The 20993-nt window shown below is 44.6% G+C and overlaps 3 protein-coding genes across 8 annotated transcripts in view, besides 1 other annotated feature; 1 reads left to right on the top strand and 2 right to left on the bottom strand.

The window, feature by feature from the left end:
* The window catches only part of UNC79 (unc-79 subunit of NALCN channel complex), a 374695-nt gene extending 357337 nt beyond the window's left edge, over positions 1–17358 (bottom strand). For 2 of the 3 annotated variants that reach the window (XM_011537027.3, NM_020818.5), the window contains exon 1: positions 17017–17358. The gene's annotated coding sequence lies outside the window, so the exon portion shown is untranslated. Of the gene's footprint in view, positions 1–1183; positions 2513–16997 lie in introns of those variants that run through there. The other variant, NR_144398.1, reaches the window with a different exon arrangement.
* Positions 2184–3358, bottom strand: COX8C (cytochrome c oxidase subunit 8C). Its single transcript, NM_182971.3, has 2 exons — positions 3146–3358; positions 2184–2512 (listed from the first exon to the last, which is right to left on the bottom strand). Exons 1-2 carry the CDS (start codon positions 3269–3271, stop codon positions 2420–2422), a joined length of 219 nt encoding a protein of 72 aa, NP_892016.1. The 5' UTR covers positions 3272–3358; the 3' UTR covers positions 2184–2419.
* Positions 6267–6768: an enhancer, noted in NCBI's record as "NANOG hESC enhancer chr14:93810118-93810619 (GRCh37/hg19 assembly coordinates)". NCBI's record gives its function as "activates a minimal SCP1, AML or CMV promoter by ChIP-STARR-seq in primed H9 embryonic stem cells {active_cell/tissue: H9 hESC(primed)}" and the evidence as "EXISTENCE:reporter gene assay evidence [ECO:0000049][PMID:30033119]".
* BTBD7 (BTB domain containing 7) overlaps positions 17504–20993 on the top strand; it is a 95487-nt gene continuing 91997 nt past the window's right edge. For 3 of the 4 annotated variants that reach the window (NM_001289133.2, NM_001002860.4, NM_018167.5), the window contains exon 1: positions 17504–17720. In NM_001289133.2, coding sequence (NP_001276062.1) covers positions 17612–17720 — 109 coding nt within the window. In that variant the 5' untranslated portion in view covers positions 17504–17611. Of the gene's footprint in view, positions 17721–17955; positions 18237–20993 lie in introns of those variants that run through there. The other variant, XM_011536939.3, reaches the window with a different exon arrangement.

The raw sequence follows: 20993 nt of genomic DNA, 5'->3' as shown, positions 1-20993 counted from the left end.
ACGTTCCTTTTATAAATTCTGTTTCTTATACCTTATAACCACTTACACAGCCCATTTATAACATTTTTTACTTTCTTACTTGTCTTACATTACAGTTCTTTTTAAAAATAACCAGTTATTTTACTTTAAGACAAAAATTTACCACACAAGATCTTTAGATAAAATTATTATTTTTAAACAATCTTACTTACCAAAAATATATTCACATTCATAACTTTTCTCACATCTCTTTTACTTCCTATTTTCTTTTTACCTTTTTTAACTTTTGAATAACTTCTAAATTATACAAAATTATTTTTTCTCAAGAACACAACTTTTAGAATTATATAAGAATTATATATTAACTAGAATTCTTATTCTTAGTAACCTTAAATTTTAGTGAAAACCTAGGAAGCAAGAAATCCTGAACTATCAGATGTGAACATTTTATAGACGAAACCACTCTACAATTTTAGAAATACATTTTCCCATATTATAACCCTTTCTTAGTTAGAAATGACCCAAATATTCAACAAGCATCCAAAATAATTTTACGATTTTAAAATTACATAAAAAGTTTACCTGGAAGCATTTATCCTATTTTTATGCACTTAATTTTTTTTATTTTTAACAGTTTATCTAGATTACTTCTGAAAAATGAAGATATTAGACAAAACTAGTTGTCATTTAAAATTATTTCTGTTAATCATTTATAAAGCCTGTGAACATCAGGTTCACCTGAGTAAGAACCTTAACCACAAGGACATTTTGCCAATAATTCAGAAGCCTCAGCTGTTTTTATTGAACCTGAAATATTTAGCGAAGGTAGATATAAAATAATTGGTGTGAGAAAACACTTTAAACAGTCCACTTTCAAGGCATGATAAATCTAAGTACGTGCAGCCAGCCTGTGGATGTAACAAACCACACAGCTCACGCACCTAGAAGGTCAATAAGCAAACAGAATGTAGAGGAGAGATCAGCCCATAAAAGGGAAGAAAGTTTTGTTATTGGGAAATCAAAACTTAAGTGGGGAAGGGGACTGGGGTATAACCTTATAGGGGGATAATGAAACTTAGGCAACATCCAGGAAGATTGTAACCCCATAGTACTTGACTAGTGAGGAACTCGGGGAGGGACTTATTACATGCTAGGGGATAAATTACCTGCTGTAACTGCCCCAGGTGTGCCTGCCTACCAGACGGCCAGTCTTGCAAGTCTGCCATTAAAAGTCTCGCTTCTGCTGTTCTTCATGTCTCCAAGGGTTTGGCCAGGTGAATATGTGTTTCTCACAATTGGTATATCTGCTGTTAATCACTTATTGTGTCCGGAATTGGTGGGTTCTTGGTCCCGCTGACTTCAAGAATGAAGCTGCAGACCTTCACGGTGAGTGTTACAGTTGTTAAAGATGGTGTGTGTCCGGAGTTTGTTCCTTCAGATGTTCAAATGTGTCCGGAGTTTCTTCCTTCTGGTGGGTTCGTGGTGTCGCTGGCTTCAGGAGTGAAGCTGCAGACCTTGCCATGAGTGTTACAGCTCTTAAAGGCGGCACGGACCCAAATAGTGAGCAGCAGCAAGATTTATTGCGAAGAGCGAAAGAACAAAGCTTCCACAGTGCGGAAGGGGACCCCAGCGGGTTGCCCAACTTCTATTTATTGACTATTGTTTCAGGTACTATGTTGAGAGGTACTTTATCTTTCTTTGTTCAATGTTTTATTTCCACAACATCACTTCAAGACAGCAATTTTAAGTCCCCATTACAGAGATAAGGAAACCAAGACTCAGAGTTGAACTATGTTGCCCATGATAACAGCATCATCAACAGCTAAGACAGTTCAAAGATGTGTATGATTCTTCAAACCTCACAGAAGACTAAGAGAAGATAATAAAATCATTAAAATAGGAGATGTACTCATTCTTCACATTCTGACGTGTAGTCATTTAAAGAGGCAAAGAAATGGTTGTACTTCTCACAGCAAATTGTGAAGTGTGGCATGGCAGTACTAATAGAACATAAAAACCATTTAGCTAAACTTATATTACCTCACAGCTACACATCTAATCTTTTAAGGGTGATGTCACTAGATACATTCACTCCCATATAGTAACAATGTCACTCCCTGAGTCACTAAGTCAGACCTTTCACAGCAGTTCTCGGTAAATTTTCATCAGCTTTCACGATGTTTAGAAAATAATCTGCACACATATTACCAAGCACGAATAAGTGTTTCCGTTTTATTTAACACTTAAGCAGAACATTTTTGACTATACATCTATATAATGCACAGTACTAAAAAAGTGCAAAATATTCATCATAAACATGAGGAAAGTGAATACCACAATGGTTGCATCAACTCAACTAGGCAATTTTGCTCGTTAACAAAAACACAGCTTTTTCTGAAAGTTTTTTGGACGTTAACAGCTGTTCAACATCATCTTCCATCTAATTCCTTCTGAACTGCTTCAGGTTGCCTAGCACATATGCAGCTGGTGTTAAGAAGGTCGTAAAAAACACCACAAGTCCAACAGCCATTTCCTGGAAGAGAAGATGACACGCGCTGCTGAGTATGGCTTCCTAGGCCAGTGACTTGCTGCCTAACAAAAAGTGCTTAAAAAAAACATTTTGAGCACCTAGACCGTTGTCCTAGAAACAGGCGCCTAGTGAAATCTAAAATGCTGAAAATCGATTCATGGATCACCTGATTTTTTTTTTTAATTCATTTTTCATCTAAGGGGTCTCCGGTTCCAACCTTCGCACTCTGGAACTTCGATGTGGCCCAGGATTTCCACCATTTTATCGAAAACGCTAGATCTTCGCAGTGCCGAGGACGTCCGAGGATGGTAAATCATTCCTCCGCGAAACCACAGCCCCGCCCCCGAGCCAGGTGCCGGTAAAGGGTAACAACGAAGGAGGCCCAATCCCCGCGCGTTCCTCAGGGTCCCGGGCTTTCCGCCCCTGTGCCCGACGACGGCATCCTCACCGCGACCCTCTCCCAGGAACCTCCCCCAAAGGCGACCAAGCCACAGGAACCTCCCCCAACGGCGACCAAGCCACAAGAGCCTCCCACGCGAGGCCTGCACGCCGTGTCCTCCCTTCTCCCCACCCGTCGGGGCGCCCCGCCAGGGCCACGCGCTTCCCGCCCACCATGATGGCTGGGCCTCAACTCACCGCGGCAGACAGGGGCCGCTGGCGCGGGGGCCCCGAGTGGGCGAAGCGGGGAGCGGGCTGCAGGCCGAGCAGGGCCAAGCGGCGGTAGTGGCGGCGGGCAGGACAGCGCCCACGCAGGAGAGGCATATCGCGTCAGGTGAGACAAAGCCAGGCGTGGACAGCACAGGTGAGGTGAGGCCAAGTAACGCAAGCTCCAGTGCTCGTGAGGCAGCTGGTTTGCGCAGGCGCCCCAGCCACGAGGGGGCGCTCTGCCCTCGCCCCCTACCCCACCCCTTCTGCCCAGCACCTCCTGCTCTGCCCCGCCTCTTCCGCTCACCACTCCTTTCTCTGTACTGCCCTTTCCACTCAGCAGTCCGTGCTTTGCCCCACCCCCTCTGCTTAGCACCACTTGCTCTGCACCACCCCTTCCACCCAGCACACCCCTGCTCTGCTCCACTCTCTTCAGTTCAGTACCCCCTGCTCTGCCCCGCCTTTTCCACTCAGGGCTCCCTGCAACCTCCCAGCCCTCATTCACCTCACTTTCCACCCACGTGTCCTATCCTCTCCTAAACTCTCCTGCCACCCTCCCCTGAGCCCCAACCCCACCTCACACTAAGTATCTCTTTTCTGCAGGGTAAGGTGAGGGACTTGGCACCCCTACTCCTTTCCTTTGTCTTCCTCTCTACCTATACTTTATATACCTCTTAACATGCCCTGGCATTGGCAGAGTTTATAGCACACTGTTTCTAATGCAAATTAAATCTTCCATAAAATGTCTATAGGTTAATTCTTAACACTGAAAACCAAGAACAAGTTTCTATAGTCGGCTGATGATATAAAAAATATTCATGGCAGGGTCAAATAGAGTGTTTGGACCCAGTAGAAACAGTGATGTAATTATCTGTCACTACGGCTAATTTTCTTATTTTTTTGTAGAGACAGGTCTCACTGTGTCACCCAGGCTGATCTCAAACTCCTGGGCTCAAGCCATCCTCTTGTCTCAGCCTCCCAAAGTACTGGGATTACAGGCATGAGGCACTGTGCCCAGACCCTCTTGAGGGAAAAGTAAATATACTGTGATTTTTAAATTTAGTACTGTAATAAAACTTTATCCACTACAATGATCCTGTGTCTTCACATTATTTCTTTTGGGGGCCTATTGCACGAGTAACACTCTAGGGTTTCTCTGGATTCCTCTGTTCCTGCAGCCTGGTATCTTCCTCTTTCTTAGATTTCTTTTCGTTTTGCTGTAGTACATCCTTAAGCTGTTCTTTCAGGAAGGGTTTGTAGGTGATAAAGTTCCTCAGTCCTTGGAAATCAAAATATATATATATTGGTCTCCATTTAAATGCTAATTTGAATGGTTATAGAACTCTGGGCTCAAAATCATTGTCCTTCAGAGATTTTCAAAAGGCATTGTTCCTTTCTTTTCCAGCATCTAGTGAGCCGATAAATATAATGCCAATATAGTTGTCATTCCTTTGAGTACCCTCTTTTTTCCTTTTGGGAATCTTTTAGGCATTCCTTTTTGTCTTTGGAATTGTGACGTTCCTCCAGGATACTGTTAGATATGGGTATTTTTCCATTCATATGGATTAGCAGTGGGTAAGACCTTTCTATCTGAAGTCATGGTTCTTTAGCCATAGGAGCACTATTCCTATTTATTTGCTTCTCTGTTTTCTTTGTTCTCAACCTAAAATTCTTATTGACGGACACTGGCCCTTCTTAGCGGGTCACCTCTGTCTTTCAACCTTTTTCTCACTCATCAACGTTTTGTCCCTTGTTCTACATTTTGCAGGATTTCCTTGACTTTTTCTTCTAGCCCATGATTTTTTATTTTAGAATTATAGTTTTAAAACATACTATTTTTTGCTTTTACAGTCACCTGTTAGTATTTTATAGATATTATCACTTTAGATTTCTTTCAGAATATTAATCTGAACTTTTAAAAAGTTATCTCTATTCCATGAACTGTGTTTCTTTAGCGTACATTCTATTTATTTATTTTGAACTTGCCAGTTTTATTCAAGTATCTTATGATCCTTGGTTGTCATTTCATGCTTATGAATATGAAGAAGCAGGTCAGTTACTTTTGTTCCTTTCTGTTACTGTCTCAGTCTGTTCAGGCTGTTACAATACAACAGACTGGATGGCTTATAAATGACGGAAATGTATTTCTTACAGTTCTGGATGCTAGAAATTCAAAATCAATGTGCTGGTAGATTTGATGTCCAGTGAGGGCCCACTTCCTTGTTCTGGTTGTGTCCTCGTATGATGGAAGCAACAAGGTAGCTCTCTAGGGCCTCTTTTATAAGGGTACTAATCCTATTCATGAGGGCTGTGGTATGATCTAATTACTTCCCAAAGGCCCCGCCTCCTAACTCTGGGGCATGTTTCACCATGTTGCCCAGGCTGGTCTTGAACTCCTGGCCTCAAGCAATCCACCTGCCTCGGCCTCCCAAAATGTTAGGATTACAGGAGTTAACCATCATGCCCAGCCCATGTTACATTTCCACTGGGCAACTGTGCTCTGGAATCTTACCCTAACCAATCAAGGACCTGCATGAACCATGGCTGGCCACCTCCCTAACCTCATCTCCTTGTTCTCAGTCTTCCCTTGGCTCATCCTGCCCAGTCACATCAGGTAAACTCTAATTTTGCCTTAGATATCCCCAGATAATAATTTGAGCACCTGTGATTTACACGAGTCCTGTAAGAAATGATTTAGTGCAACATTGCTCTGTTTCCTGGCCACAGTTGTTACACTACTTGACTCAAATATTGGACCAAAGAGAGGGCTGGGACCCAGTCTGTTGGTTGGGATGGATGTTGTAACTTGGGAGCCATGTTTTTTTTTCCCTGCCTAGCAAGAAAGCCCTTCCACAGTGAGTTAATAATGTAGCCAAGCTGCTCAAAGAACCAGAGATAAGAACCAGAGGGAATATCCTGCCTGTGTTCAAAGCCCTGGTTTGAATTCTCCCTATTCTGAAGTTAGGACACTTTCCTCTCCTTGAGTTCTGGGCCTCTCTTTATATACTTTATGATAAATCCTGCTTTGGGCTTAAACTAGGTGGTGCTGCATTTCTATTGCTAACAACAAAAGAGCTTTAAGAAAGACGATATTAGTCAAGACTTTTTTCTTTGGGTAATACCCCATTTTTAATTTTTAAAAAGCAACAAAAATTCTGAAGTAAAGTGAGAAAGAGCCCAATAATAGGCAAGCTTGACTGGTTTAATCCTAATCTTGAGAAGTTTAGAAGAGAGTGCAATTCAAGTGAGATTTAAGCATTTTAGGTCTTTCTCTGTAACAAAAGCCTTAAAACACTTTCGACAGTGGTGACTCCAAATTCAGCCACAACACAATTAAGCTCCCTGCCACCCACCCCCACCCCAGGAGACAGCTCTTTTAGCTGCTCAAATTACCAATACAAACAACATTCCTCAGTTTAATTTCTGCAAGTCACAAAAGACTAGCACTGTTAACTCAAACCTCTACAATTTTCAATAAAGGGTTTAGTGGGCTGGGATTCGATGTATTCTCAGTGACCCACAATGCAAGAACTTCCTTCTGCAGTTATATAAAAGAACTTAATTAGAGCTATAACCTAGAGATCAGGTTTTCTGAGCTGTATGTACACAATGAATGAGAAAGACACCCTCGCCCACTTACCTTTTATAATGTGATTTTTATAAATATTCATGCTCTAAATAAACTGGTGTTAAAGTTCTAGAAAATTATATAATGAATTAAGATTGCACTACCTCAGCCCCAAATATCTCAAATTCATTCCTCTCTAGAAAAACATGTTTAATTCTGATTCAAGAACCAAAGGCTTCAGAACAAAAGTCTCTGAAAAATAGGGGAGGAAAAAAAAAGAACCAAAGGCCTTTGAGGAACAAAGTGTTTCTCTTTGTATTTGCATCTGTCTTTACAATTGCACAACCTCAATGATCGAGATACTCAGATAAGTAAGCAACAAAAGCAGAAGAGTTGCAAAAGTGGGAAACATATTCAAGTTCTGCAACTGGCAACATCAGTAACACACTTGGATTGCAAGCACAACAGTAATAGAAGATGATATAAGAAGACATGCCCCTTGCTCCCCTTTGCCTTCTACCATGATTGTAAGTTTGCTGAGGCCTCCCCAGCCATGCAGAACTATGAATCAATTAAACCTCTTTTCTTTATAAACTATCCAGTCTCAGGTAGTTCTTTATAGCAGTGTAAAAACAGACTAATATAGAAAATTGGTAACAGGAGTGGGGTACTGCTATAAAGATAACTAAAAATGTGGAAGTCACTTTGGAACTGGGTAATAGGCAGAGGTTGGAACAGTTTGGAGGGCTCAGAAGAAGACAGGAAGATGTGGGAAAGTTTGGAACTTCCTAGAGACCTGTGGAATGGTTTTGACCAAAATACTGATAGTATGATATATGATACCATGCTGATAGTATGATATATGGACAATGAAGTCCAGGCTGAGATAGTCTCAGATGGAGATGAGGAACTTATTGAGAACTAAAACAAAGGCCACTCTTGCTATGCCTTAGCAAAGAGACTGGCAGCATTTTGCCCCTGTCCTAGAGATCTGTGAAACTTTGAACTTGCAAGAGATTACTTAGGGTATCTGGCAGAAGAAATTTCCGAGCAGCAAAGCATTCAAGATGTGACCTAGCTTTTTCTGAAAGCATACAGTCATATGCATTTATGAATGGATGGTCTGAAATTGGAACTTATGCTTAAAACAGAAGCAGAGCATAAAAGTTTGGAAAATTTGCAGCCTGACCATGTGGTAGAAAAGAAAAACCCATTTTGTGGGGAGAAATTCAAGCCACCAACTACAAAAATTTGCATAAGTAAAGAGAGGCCAAATGTCAATGGCCAAGACAATGAGGAAAATGTCTCCAGGGTATTTCAGAGATCCTCACAGCAGCCCCTCCCATCACAGGCCCAGAGGCCTAGGAAGGAAAAATGGCTTCATGGGGTGGGCCCAGGACCCTGTTTCTCTGTGCAGCCTCAAGACATGGTGCCCTGTGTCCCAGCCACTCCAGCTCCAGCCATGGCTAAAAAGGATCAAGGTAGAGCTTGAGTCATTGCTTCAGAGGGAACAAGCTCCAAGCCTTGGAAGCTTCCATGTGGTATTGGTCCTGTGGGTGCACAGAAGACAAGAGTTAAGCTTTGGGAGTCTCCACCTAGATTTTAGAGGATGTATGAAAACTCTTGGATGTCCAGGCAGAAGTTTGCTGCAGGGGCAGAGCCCTCATGGAGAATCTCTACTATGGCAATGGAGAGGGGGAAATGTGGGGTTGCAGCCCCCACACAGAGTCTCTACTACAGCACTGCCTAGTGGAGCTGTGAGAAGAAAGCCACCATCCTCCGGAACTCAGAATGTTAGATCCACCAACAGCTTGCACCATGCACCTGGAAAAGCCACAGGCACTCAACACCAGCCTGTGAAAGCAGTCACGGGGCCTGTATCCTGCAGAGCCACACAAGAATAGCTGCCCAAGGCCTTGGGAACCCACCTCTTGCATCAGTATGTCTTGGATGTGAGACATGGAGTCAAAAGAGATTATTTTGGAGCTTTAAGATTTAATGGCTGCCCTGTTGGGTTAACTGTGGCATGCCCTTGGCAGAGAGGAGGGGTTCATTTAGATGGTGGGGGAGGCCTTAGAATTTTATTTTTGGTTTACATTCACTGCAGCCTTGAACTCCTGGATCCAAGCAATCCTCCCACCTCAGCCTCCCAAGTAGGTGGGAACACAGGCATGCACCACCATGCCCAGCTAATTTTTTTTTTTTTTTTTTTTGTAGAGACAGAGTCTCACAATTTTGCTTAGGCTGATGGTCTCAAACTTCTGGGCTCAAGCAATCCTCTTGCCTCAGCCTCCGAAAGTGCTAGGATTGCAGGCATAAACCACCACACCTGGCATCTTTTCATCATTTTTTTTCTTTTTGAGACGGAGTTTCACAGTTGTTGCCCAGGCTGGAGTACAGTGGTGCGATCTCAGCTCACTACAACCTCTGCCTCCCAAGTTCAAGCGATTCTCCTGTCTCAGCCGCCTGAGTAGCTGGGATTACAGCCATGTACCACCACGCCTGGCTCATTTTTGTATTTTTAGTAGAGACGGGGTTTCTCCATGTTGGTCAGGCTGGTCTCGAACTCCTGACCTCAGGAACTCCCAATCCACCCACCTCGGCCTCCCAAAGTGCTAAGATTGCAGGCGTGAACCACTGCACCCGGCCACCTTTTCATTTTTAAATTTCACATTCCTCTTCTTCTCCTGAATTACATCTAGATATTCTTCAATGGATTTCTGTTATACTGACATGAAAAGATTGGCAGTTGGGGTCCAAAAGATCAAAGGTCAAATTCCAGCACTATCATTTACTAACCACATAGCCTCAGGAAAATAAAGCATATTTCTCTTAGAATGTGGATATGGAGGTTAAATCAGACAGTATGTGTATCCATTATTAGATTAAGTGTAGCCTGAAGCTGCGTCCTTACGTATTTTAACTTGGGCCTAAAGGTTTCTCGTAGGCCAGACATGGTGGCTCACACCTGTAATCACAGCACTTTAGGAGGCTGAGATGGGCAGATTGCTTGAGCCCAGGAGATTGAGACCAGCCTGGGCAACATGACAAAACCCCATCTCTACAAAAAATACAAAAATTATCCAGGTATGGTGGTGCACATCTGTAGGCCTAGCTACTCAGGAGGCTGAGTTGGGAGAATCATCTGAGGCTGGGGAGGTCAAGACTGCAGTGAGCTATAATCATGTCACTGCACACCAGCCTGGGAAACAGAGTGATACCCTGTCTCAAAAAAAAAAAAAAAAAGTTTCTCCTACATAGTGAACTGTAACCTGACTGGATGTATAAACAGATTGTAAACTACTTTCGTACTAATCACAGAGTTTTGGCCAGGCCAGTCATAGGTGGCCTTCTTTTTTTTTTTTTTTTTTTTTTTGAGACAGCGTTTTGCTCTGTCGCCCAGGCTAGAGTGCAGTGGCGCAATCTCTGCTCACTGCAAGCTCCGCCTCCTGGGTTCATGCCATTCTCCTGCCTCAGCCTCCCGAGTAGCTGGGACTACAGGCACCCGCCACCATGCCTGGCTAATTTTTTATATTTTTAGTAGAGATGGCATTTCACCGCGTTAGCCAGGATGGTCTCGATCTCCTGACCTCGCGATCCGCCCACCTTGGCCTACCAAAGTGCTGGGATTACAGGCATGAGCCACCGCACCCAGCATAGGTGTCCAACTCTTAAAACCATATTCAAATAAGGCAACTGCCAAGTTGTAACCAGTCCAGGTGTTTCTATAGCTGTCATGAACAGCACAAGGTCAGACATAACCAGGTCCATGCACTTTTGTGTCTTTCTACAAGGTCAAACATTTTTTGATGCTTATTCAATCACGAAAGCCATGAGCTAATAGAGTAACCAAACAGGCCATTCTCCTTATTACTTCCCGTTCACTCTAGTCAGAGCCATGGGGGCACAGACTCAAGCCAATCCACAAGTCAGTCAATATTGCAACCATACATACTAGCATATTTAATGTGTAAATGTCATAGATTAAAATTTCCACATCAAAGTAAAATTTAACATCAGGAGAAAAGAAAATAGTAAAAGGGGTTAACAAACCAGTACAAGGAGAGCAACACGGACAAACAGAATGTCCTGAGCTAATCCAGACAGTCATCAACATCTTTCAAGGAAAAGTCTGTGATTTGGGCAGAGCCTTCAGAGGCAAATGCCAGGTGCTGACCACGAGTAACAGAAAGACAGTATCTGTTAAAATGGCCATCTAGGCCGGGCGCAGTGGCTCACGCCTGTAATCCCAGCACTTTGGGAGGATGAGGCGGGTCGATCACGAGGTGAGGAGTTTGAAACCAGCCTGGCCAACATGGTGAAATCCCGTCTCTACTAAAAATACAAAAAATTAGCCGGGCGTGGTGGCAGGCACCTGTAGTCCCAGCTACTCGGGAGGCTGAGGCAGGAGAATGGCGTGAACCCGGGAGGTGGAGCTTGCAGTGAGCCGAGATCACGCCACTGCACTCCAGCCTGGGCAACACAGTGAGACTCTGTCTCAAAAAAAAAGAAAAATAAAGAAAAAAATGGCCATCTAGAGCTGATCAAGTCCTGCTAAAGTCTTTGAGTCATCTGGTGAGGGCTGATAGTAAAGGGTTACACTCTAATCTGGTTGGGGGTTGTCTCTGTGTGAACATCTGTACCCTGTTGGCATGATGCCTTTTAAAATATATGATGGAGTCTTTTTCTAAGATGGCATTACTTATGTCAAGGATGCTCTATTTAGTACCTCACCTCCATTTTCTGTACATCACTTTCCTTTTCCTATCCATAAATATTCTCAGACTGCATAGCAGCTCTAGAGTCACTCTGAACCTCTTCTGGTTAAGGGGTCTGCCCAATTTACAAATCATTTTAACCAAGTAAACTCTATTAAATTTAATTTGTCTGAAGTTTTTTTTGTTTGTTTTTGAGACGGTCTTACTCTGTCACCCAGGCTGGAGTGCAGTGGTGTGATCTCAGCTCACAGCAACCTCCACCTCCCAGGCTCAAATGATCCTCCCACCTCAGCCACCTGAATAGCTAGGACTACAGGCACATGCCACCACACCCAGCTAATTTTTGTCTTTTTTTCATAGAGACAGAGTTTTGCCATGTTGCCCAGGCTGGTCTTGAACCCTTGGGCTCAAGAGATCCACCCACCTGGGCCTTCCAACCTGCTGGGATAACAGCCATAAGCCACTGCACTCAGCCGTTCAAGTCTTTTGTCATTCCTGTTTGGTTGTCTTGTTCTTACTAAATTGTAAGCATTCTTTACATATGCTGGATATAAGCTCTTTTTTGGTTTTATGTATTACAAATATCTTTTTCCATTGTATGGCTTGTCTTTTTCCCCCACTGTGTATGTGTTAGTCCGTTTTTGTGTTGCTAGAAATACCTAAGTCTGGGTAATCTATTTTAAAAAGAGGTTTAATTGGCTCACAGTTCTGCAGGCCTTACTGGTGAGACCTTAGAAAGTTTATAATCATGGTGGAAGGCAAAGGGAGAGCAAGCAGTGTCACATGGCAAGAGATGGACTGGTCGGTGGGAGGTGGTGCACACTTTTAAACAACCAGATCACCAGTGAATTCAGAGAACTCACTCATCCCAAAATGTCACAGGATCCTTCAGGTGTTGCTTCGCCAGCTGGAAACCTCTGTGGCCGGCAGCACCTCTGCTTGAGTTTTGCTCACACCTGCTAGGCTCATTCTGCCCACTCAGCCTGGCAGGCTGCGCTCGGCTTGTGCTACCAGCCTGGATCCCATGCTTGCCAAGGGCGAGCCAGGCGCAGAGCAGTGAGGGGTATGTGAGTGAGCCAGCATGGGATCTGGCCACTGCACACAGCCAGGTACACTGGCTGCTGGGGTGAGGTGGGCAGCTCCAGGCACTGGCATAGACACCAGCTCCATGTGAGGCTGCAGCTGGACCAGACATACCACAAGCGGCTTCTACTGTGGGCACCAGCATCTGGACAAGGCAAACACAGTGGCACCCAAAAGCTTGGAAACACCAGGAACCACAGAGCCCCAAAGGGAGTGTTACAGCATGTCACAGCCCTAGTTTGGGGAGCCCTGAGGTCTAGGCTCCCAGAAGGGCTGCAGCTCTTCTCTCCTCCTTGTCACCCACAGCATGGCAAGCAGAGGGGTGTGTTTCAGGGGGGCATGTTTCAGCCCATTTGTGTTAAAGCTCTTTCAATCCCACCACCCCACTCCAGGCTGCAGCTCCTGGGCTGGCCCAGCCCTGCCACTGCTTCCTATCATGTGAGGTGGCAGCCCAGCACCTGCAGAGGGCAGGAGGGCTATAGTGTTACAACTCTGGGTTGGGGAATCCCCAGGTCTGGGCCCCAGAAGGTTCGCCACTCTTCACTCCTACAGTCTGGGAGTATGTCACCATCCACAGGTCAGCTAGCCAGTCAGGAAAGTGTTACAGCTCCTTTCACTCCTGCCACTCGAAGGTTCCCGAGTTCTTGTCCCATGTCAAGGAAGAATAAGTTACATGGACAACTGGAGGGGAAACAAACTTAAGAAGAGCTTTTTTGGGCAACCAAACAGCTCTCAGAGGAGCCAAGACCCAAAGTGCGTAGACTCTATGAGTCTGTGAGTTAGGCTGGGTCTGGGGGTTTTTATTGGCTCAGAATGAAGTGCATGCTGATTGGTCCATGGGCAGGAAGAAATGCATGCTAATTGGTCTGTGGGCGGGCCTGGAAAAAGCACTACTTTATTGGCTGAAAGGCATCAAGGAAGTTCTCACTCCAGGTCGTGGACTTCACTGGGAACTGGCAGCCTGGCCCCCAGGCTTTAGGCCATCTCTGGTTTGAAGGTGGGGTTTCACCAGGGACCCACCCCTTCCCACCTAGGAACCTGTCTGCCTCCCACCACCATCACAAGGGGATAGTGTGAAGCCATTCATGAGGGATCTGCCTTCATGATCCAAACACCTCCCACCAGGTCCCACTTCCAACACTGGCGATTACATTTCAACATGAGATTTGGAGGGGACAAACATCCAAACCATATCAGTACATTTTGATGCACTTAAGTTCATATTTTAAATACAGTTGAATCTATGAATCTTGTCTTCATGATTAATGTTTTCTGTGACTTGCTTGTCTTTTCTTCCCCAAGGCAATGAATATTTTCCAATATTATTTTCTAAAACCTTTATTAATTGTATTATTTGTTAATTTAATAATTATTAAGGCCATGTGCAGTGGCTCACGCCTGTAATCCTAGCACTTTGGGAGGCCAAGGTGGGCGGATCACGAGGTCAGGAGTTTGAGACCAGCCTGGCCAACATGGTGAAACCCTGTCTCTACTAAAAATACAAAAAATTAGTCAGGCATGGTGGCACGCACCTGTAATCCCAGCTACTCGGGAGGCTGAGGCAGGAGAATCACTTGAACCCAGGAGGCGGAGGTTGCACTGAGCTGAGATTGCGTCATTGCACTCCAGCCTGGGTGACAGAGCAAGACTCTGTCTCAAGAAAAAAAAAAATTGAAAATTGAATAATTATTAAGCACTTCTTAATTAAGCATCTACAAGGTACTTATCACTGTTCTGGGGTTTTCAATCCTCTTCACCTTTTAGACTTCAGGAAATTCAGAAAAATGCATGAAAACAGGATTGTTACATGCAGAGAAATAGGGGGAGATAAAATTTGTCTTTTCTCCTTAATTTCAAAAACCCAGCTTCCATCCTGTATTTCCAGGAAGATGAGTGTGGGAATGGGTTTCAGTGGATGGTTATGTGTGGTAAAAAAGGGGGGTACAAAGGAAGGAAAAGACTGGAGTGACAGACCATGGAATATACCATGAAATGTTGATTACTCTTATTTTCAACATAGATGACCAGGTGGATGGGATGCCATTCACTGATGGAGGGAGTGGAGAAAGGAACAAAACATAAATTCAGGACTTTTGGTTGAAAGCCACAGAAGTTCACTGTTTTTACCCATTTCCAACTAACTTAAGATAAAAAGAGGTGTTAGGGCAACTTAATGGCTTCTAAAAATGAAAAGACCAGGGATGGGTTGGTTTCAGGCCCAGGTAGGCCCAGGTATTCAAATGATGTCATGGTTTTCCTTTCTCTCACTTTGTTTCTTTGTTTATGGTCTTCCTCCTTTCCTACCGCACATGGCTTTCTCCTCATTGGCAAACAAAGCCAATTTACATGTCCTTTCGAGTCATAATCCCGGAGAAATAGAGTAAGAAGAAACATCTCCTCTGAGAGTGTGGCAAAAATTTCCAGAAAAGGTTCTGGTTGACCTATTTGTGTCATATGGCCATCCAGATCTATCTGATTCTAGAATGCATGCTGTTAACCACTACTTAGTACCATCTTAACACTAGCCTTAAAAAAATGTTTTTCACTCTGTCTTCTTATTTAGATTCTAAGCTCCTTAAGTACAAAGATCCATTTATTTTTTACCCCCAGCATGTAGTACCGTGCTTGGCACATGGTACTGGATACTTTAAATGTGTATCGGACTGAACTAAAATAAACATCTAAATTCTGATGAGTGTGTAAACTGAGCTAATTCAGGATCTCAAAAGTACAGTTAAATGGTATAATAAGGAAACAGTGAATGAATTAAAGGGTAGAAAAAAATCATGGATCACTTACAAATGGTTTCTAGATCCAAACAGTCTACTAGAAGTCTCCAGCTGTGCAGATAGACAAAAGGACAAGGTGCAACCAGCAGACCTTACTTGGCTTTTCAAAAAGTTTTAGATTTCCACATCAAAGGCTGTTAGAAAAAGTGTTATCCTGAAATTACTTAGAATTCTATTGTTGTTGATACCATTTTAATTTTGTTTTTTAAATTGTGGCTAGGAAATAGAAGCAAAGTCAAGTAATAAAGGTTAGTAATAAGTGTAAACAGTGGGGACTGATCTTATTTAACATTTCCATAAATTATAAAGAAGCAGTGTTTACACACCGCTTTTTAGTTTGCTAATCATAGCTCTTTCAGTTAATGCAATACAGTCATCCCCCATATACTATATACGTGGGATTGGTTCCAGGACCCACCACATATACCCCAATCCAAGCATACTCAAGTCTGCCTGTCCGTCCTGTGGAATGTGAGTATAAGAAAAGTCGGCCCTCTCAATACGGTGTTTAGAATCCCATGTACCAGGTTGCATTGATCGATCCGCACAGTTCAAACCCGTGTTGTTCAAGTGTTAACTGTATTTAGCAAATTAAGACAAAGGTAAAATGATGGAAAATAACAGTAAATGGCTTGAATTTAGATAAGGTTCACTTACGCCTTTGGGGAAGTATAAAAGTGTGGAACAAGAGGTGGACACTCAGAGGTAATCATTGGCTCCAATTAGATGGACCTATTTCTTTTATATTTTCTCACTTTTCCATGCATTTCTTGTCTATCGCCCTGAGGCTGTATGTTCAACTGAAGTGACCCTTACCAGCTAGAGGGGAATTTCAGGCAAGGGACTGCTACAATCTCTGCTACAATCTCCAAACCTTCAAGGATTGGGTAAGAGGGTGAAAAGGGTGAGATGGGTAAAGAAAATGAAGTAATACAAATTGGAAAGAGCTATCCTTTTCAAGGAAGTAAGGTGATGAAGAATGAGGGTGAGGAAAATACAAATCTGAAGGAAGTCCAGAGGAAAACAACAATGATATTGTCTCCAACTGAATATGAAAAGCATAAAATAATGGAGGGTCAAGAGATGGTTAAAAACACATCACAAAATTCCAAATTGCTCTTATCCTTTGAAGCTTAGAGGTGGTTTCAGAACAACAACAACAAAAAACTGTGTGACACAAAACTTGTTAAACAATGGGTAGAGATTGAAAATGCAAATACAATACTTTCAAATAAATTCCCAGAGTTGCTAATGTCTATCAGAGGAAAAGGAGGTGTAACGGTGCCTCCTCACTGGGTTCAGAATGCCTGGGTTCTGATCTTGGCTTGCCTACTTGTTAGTATTTCTGAGCCTGTCTCCTTGGTTGTAAAACAGCAATAAAAACACCTATCCTGACTACCACAAAGGGTGGCTTTGGCGTTCAAATGAAACCATGGATCTCTCTGGAAAACGACAGTGCCCCATAAATACAGTATTTTTGTTATTGCATCGCTGAAATTATTGCAAACCCCCAAACAAGGGGCATCTAGGGAAGAGCGACTTGGCTCTCCCACGTGGCGACTGTGTGTTTTCATCAATTTTGTCCTTTGTTTACAGGGGTATCTTGTTAAGGAAAACTTTTCAGTGTCTTAAAGATTATTTTTTAACCTACTACACAAGTAGCAAGGTGGTGCCTGTAAAAGTACCATGCAGACAAGTGCTTACGATAGACAAGTGCTCACTGCCAAGAAGCAGCCACCGGAATGCCAGGACTGTCAGCAATGACTTTCCGCGGAAGAGTTGTTCTCGAGAAAGATGCACTCATTGCATGCGACCACCCGAGGGACGCCGGCCGCCGAACGGAAACATGAATTCGTGGAAATGGCCATCTGGTGACGTAGTAGTGACACAGTTCTTATATTCTGATACATTTAATAATGTGTCACAATTCGCTGGACTAAGCAGGATGCTGCCACAAGAGGCAAACTCCCAGCGACCCGACGCCCGGCTCCCAGCCGACGAGCAAAAATAATGCGCGCGCACTCCGCTCCCATGGATCCAGCGAACGCACCGCCCCCCCACGCGGCCCGACTCGCGCGGCGACGTCGGGCCACGTGACCCTGAGCGGGACGACGGCAGGGGAGGGCGGGGGCTCCGGCCGGCTCCGCAGCGCCGCGCAGGCGCCCCAGGGCCACGCCGAACCGAGCCCCTCCTGCTCCGTCTAGGAGTCAAAATGGCGGCGAGGGGAACCTGGAGCAGTCCCGGAGCCTGAGCCACTGACAGGAGAGGAGAGGGCGGCGGCGGCGGCGGTGGGAGGAGGATGGCCGGGGGTGCTGGCGCCGGTGCGGACGGCGGTGCTGGTGGCGGCGGCGGCGGAGGCGACGGCAGCGGTCCCAGCGGCAGCAGCAGCGGCGGGAGGAGCCTCCGGGGTGAGTGTCCCTTGGTGTCTCTGAGGCTGTGGAGCCGAGGCTGTGTCCGGTGTGGCGCGGGGCGTCCGGGAGAGGAAGGGGCTGTTCTTAGGCGTGGGGGCGCCGGGGCTGGGGCCAAGCCGCCGCGGGAGGCGCTGGGGCGCCGGGCGGGGAGGGGCCAGTCGTCCGTCTGGGGCTGAGGCGCGGCGGCGCCGGACTGGCCGGTCTCTGTGCGCTCCGAGGGGCGGGCTGGAGCGCGCCGCCGTCCCTGGGGCAGGGGCGCGAGGTGTGGCGCTCGGGGCGGGGAGAGCGGCCCGAGGGAGTCGCGACGGCAGCCCGGCCGGCTTTGGGCTCCGGGCGCCGAGGGGCGGGACCCGTCGCTCCCAGGACGCTGAGAAACCGCTCCCGAGACGGGGGCGCGTGTTTACCCGGGTGCGGGGTTGCGACCGCCAGGGGTGGGCGTGAGAGTGGCCGGCGGGGTCTGGGAAGGGAGCAGGCCTGAGGACTGCTACTCCCAGGGGAAGTTAGATTGTCCGGGTAAGTTACTATTGCGGGATAAACCTGGAATTGAGCTTTGACAGGTTGGGAGGGAGACAATACCGAGTGTTTGATAAAGAAGAGGAGGCTGTGCTTGTTGGACTACTTGAATGGCAAAAAGTGTGCATATTTCAGTACCTTATTTGCACAGTGTTTGCTAGCTTTACCCCGAGGGTGAGAACTTTCTCACCGTTTTTCAAGAAACTCTGAGGAGTGTTGTTTCTCCTGTGAACTACAATTGCACGTCTTCACATACCAGCACAGATAATAAGTACTCTGGAGTAGGCCTAATTTACAGAAGCAGTCTTGGTTATCTACACCAGAGCACTGTTAACTCTGCGAAAACATCTTACTGTAATGAGAAAGTAGACATTTTTACAGAATTACTTAGCTTTTTCAACTAACAACCTTTTTGGGGGGGGGGAGACGGAGTCTCGCTCTGTCACCCAGGCTGGAGAACAGTGGTGCGATCTCGACTCACTGCAACCTCCGCCTCTCAGGTTCAAGCGATTCTCCTGTCTCAGCCTCCCAAGTAGCTGGGATTACAGGCGCCCGCTGCCACGCCCGGCTAGTTTTTGTATTTTTAATAGAGACGTGGTTTCACCATGTTGGCCAGACTGGTCTCGAGCTCCTGACCTCTGGTGATCCGCCCGCCTCGTCCTTCCGAACTACTGGGATTGCAGGCGTGAGCCACCGCGCCCGGTCTGGTCAACTAACAATCTTTTGTCCCTAATAGCATCTGTTTCCTTTAGATTGCTGAAATGAATTGCTTTCTTCCTGAAATGTGGAAGAAAGACTTGAAATTGCTTTGCAAGAATCATACGTTGTTAATAGCAACTGTTATTAGACTTGTCATGGAATTTTGGAGTCAGAAAAACTTTTAGAGATCTAAAGGTGTGAATATTGTTTTAGAGCCGGGAAACCAGACCCAGAGAGGCGAGTGACTTGTTGTGGATCCTACAGCTGGCGATGGATTAGACCAAAACTAAGATGTAGGCCTCTACACCCCATTACCCCATTTAGAGAGCTCATTGTTACTACACTGCTGAGCTGCTTACTTTTCATTGATTGCATTCTTCACCATTCACTACCTACCCCTATCCATAGGGTTTTGGTGTAATAAAGTTGAAAGCGAAAATGAGAGCCTCTGTCTCATTCTGACAGCTACTTCAAGTAACTGATGAAGATTTTTTTTTTTTCCTAACCTGAACTTAATAAAAACGGAGTGATATTTCGTTTGGAGTTTTCTTAGGCTCATGACTACATTTTCACCCAGTTTTAGCATGGCTCATTCTTGCATGAATTCAGTAAAACTCATAGGTCAATATTCTGTCCCACAAAACCTGACTACTGTATTGTTTTGTGTCCCAACACCAGCATTTAAACAAGGTTTTTCTATCAGACTCTGATTTTAGGATTTAAAGCACCTGTGTTGATTTCTAGGTTACACTACCTAGTTTCCAGGTATCATCTTGAGTCACAGCATTTTTATAGTGTGTCTCAGGTAAACCTTCGGAAGTGCAGTAATGCCAAAGTTATTCTGATTTCAGATTCTAGTCACGGAAGCTCACACATCCAAAATTACATAGGTGACTGTTGAAGGTCTGCTTTTTGTTTTGCATTAGATGAATGATGTGGAAGAAAGGAAAGAAACATAATATTAGGTTGGTGCAAAAGTAACTGCAGTTTTTGCCATTAACATATAGACTTTTCCCTCAAGTTCTTATTGGAAAGATCAGGTGTACCAACATGAGTCTCGAAGACAATCTAGTGAGTTCTACTAATGCAAAGAATGCTGTTGGTATACAGGGTAGAGAGAGATGAGTGAGACCCCAAGAGTCCAAAGAACTTGGGAAACTTCGGATTTGAGCTGGCCTATGAAAGTTTAGATTTACCGAGAGATTGTAGCAGTTACTTTGTGAGGAAAAAGCAAGAGTGTAAAGTGAAGATTAGCTTAGGGGGAGGGAAATAGAAGGAGACTAGGATGAGCTGACAACTGAATTTCCTGAGGAGAATGTTTTCGTTAGGAAACTTTAGTCAGTTGGAAAGCTATTTGTCTGTAGAAGAGTTTGAGTGCTGAATTGAGGAGATTTCTACTTTTATCCTGTTGTGCAAGGTATAGAGAGCCTTTGAAAGTTTGGAGGCCAGGGATTAATGTGGTAAACCAGGAAGGTAAACCTGTTAATGATCTACAGGTTAAGTTAGAGTGAGGAGAGAATGTAATGAACCAAGGAAGACAGTAGCTGCTGTAGTAACCCAAATAGGAGATCTTAGACCCGGATAAAGTCAGTAGGAAGGATTTGGATAGCAGATATCTGTGGGCTTAATTGTGGTAAAATCCACATACAATTTACCATCTTAACCATTTTTAAGTGTATAGTTCTGTGGCATAAGTACATTTACATTGTTGTGTAGCCATGCCATCACCACCATCCATCTGTAGAATTCTTTCATTTGGAGTTTTCTTAGGCTCATGACTACATATTTCTAAACCGAAACTGTCCATTTTCCCTTACCCCCAGCCCCTGGCACCCACAGTTCTACTGTCTCTTTTATTTTGACTACTGTAAGTACCACGTATAAGTGAAATTATACAGTATTTGTCCTTCTATATCTGGCTTATTTCACTTAGTATAATGTCATCAAGGTCCATCCATATTGTAGCATGTGTCACAATTTGCTTTCTTTTTAAGGCTGAATAATATTCCATTGTATGTTATTTTTATATTTTGTTAAGTTCCCCTCAATGGGCACTTA

This window comes from Homo sapiens, chromosome 14 (assembly GCF_000001405.40).
Source record: "Homo sapiens chromosome 14, GRCh38.p14 Primary Assembly".
Taxonomy (NCBI): domain Eukaryota; kingdom Metazoa; phylum Chordata; class Mammalia; order Primates; family Hominidae; genus Homo; species Homo sapiens.
This window is presented reverse-complemented; position numbering and strand designations above follow the sequence as displayed.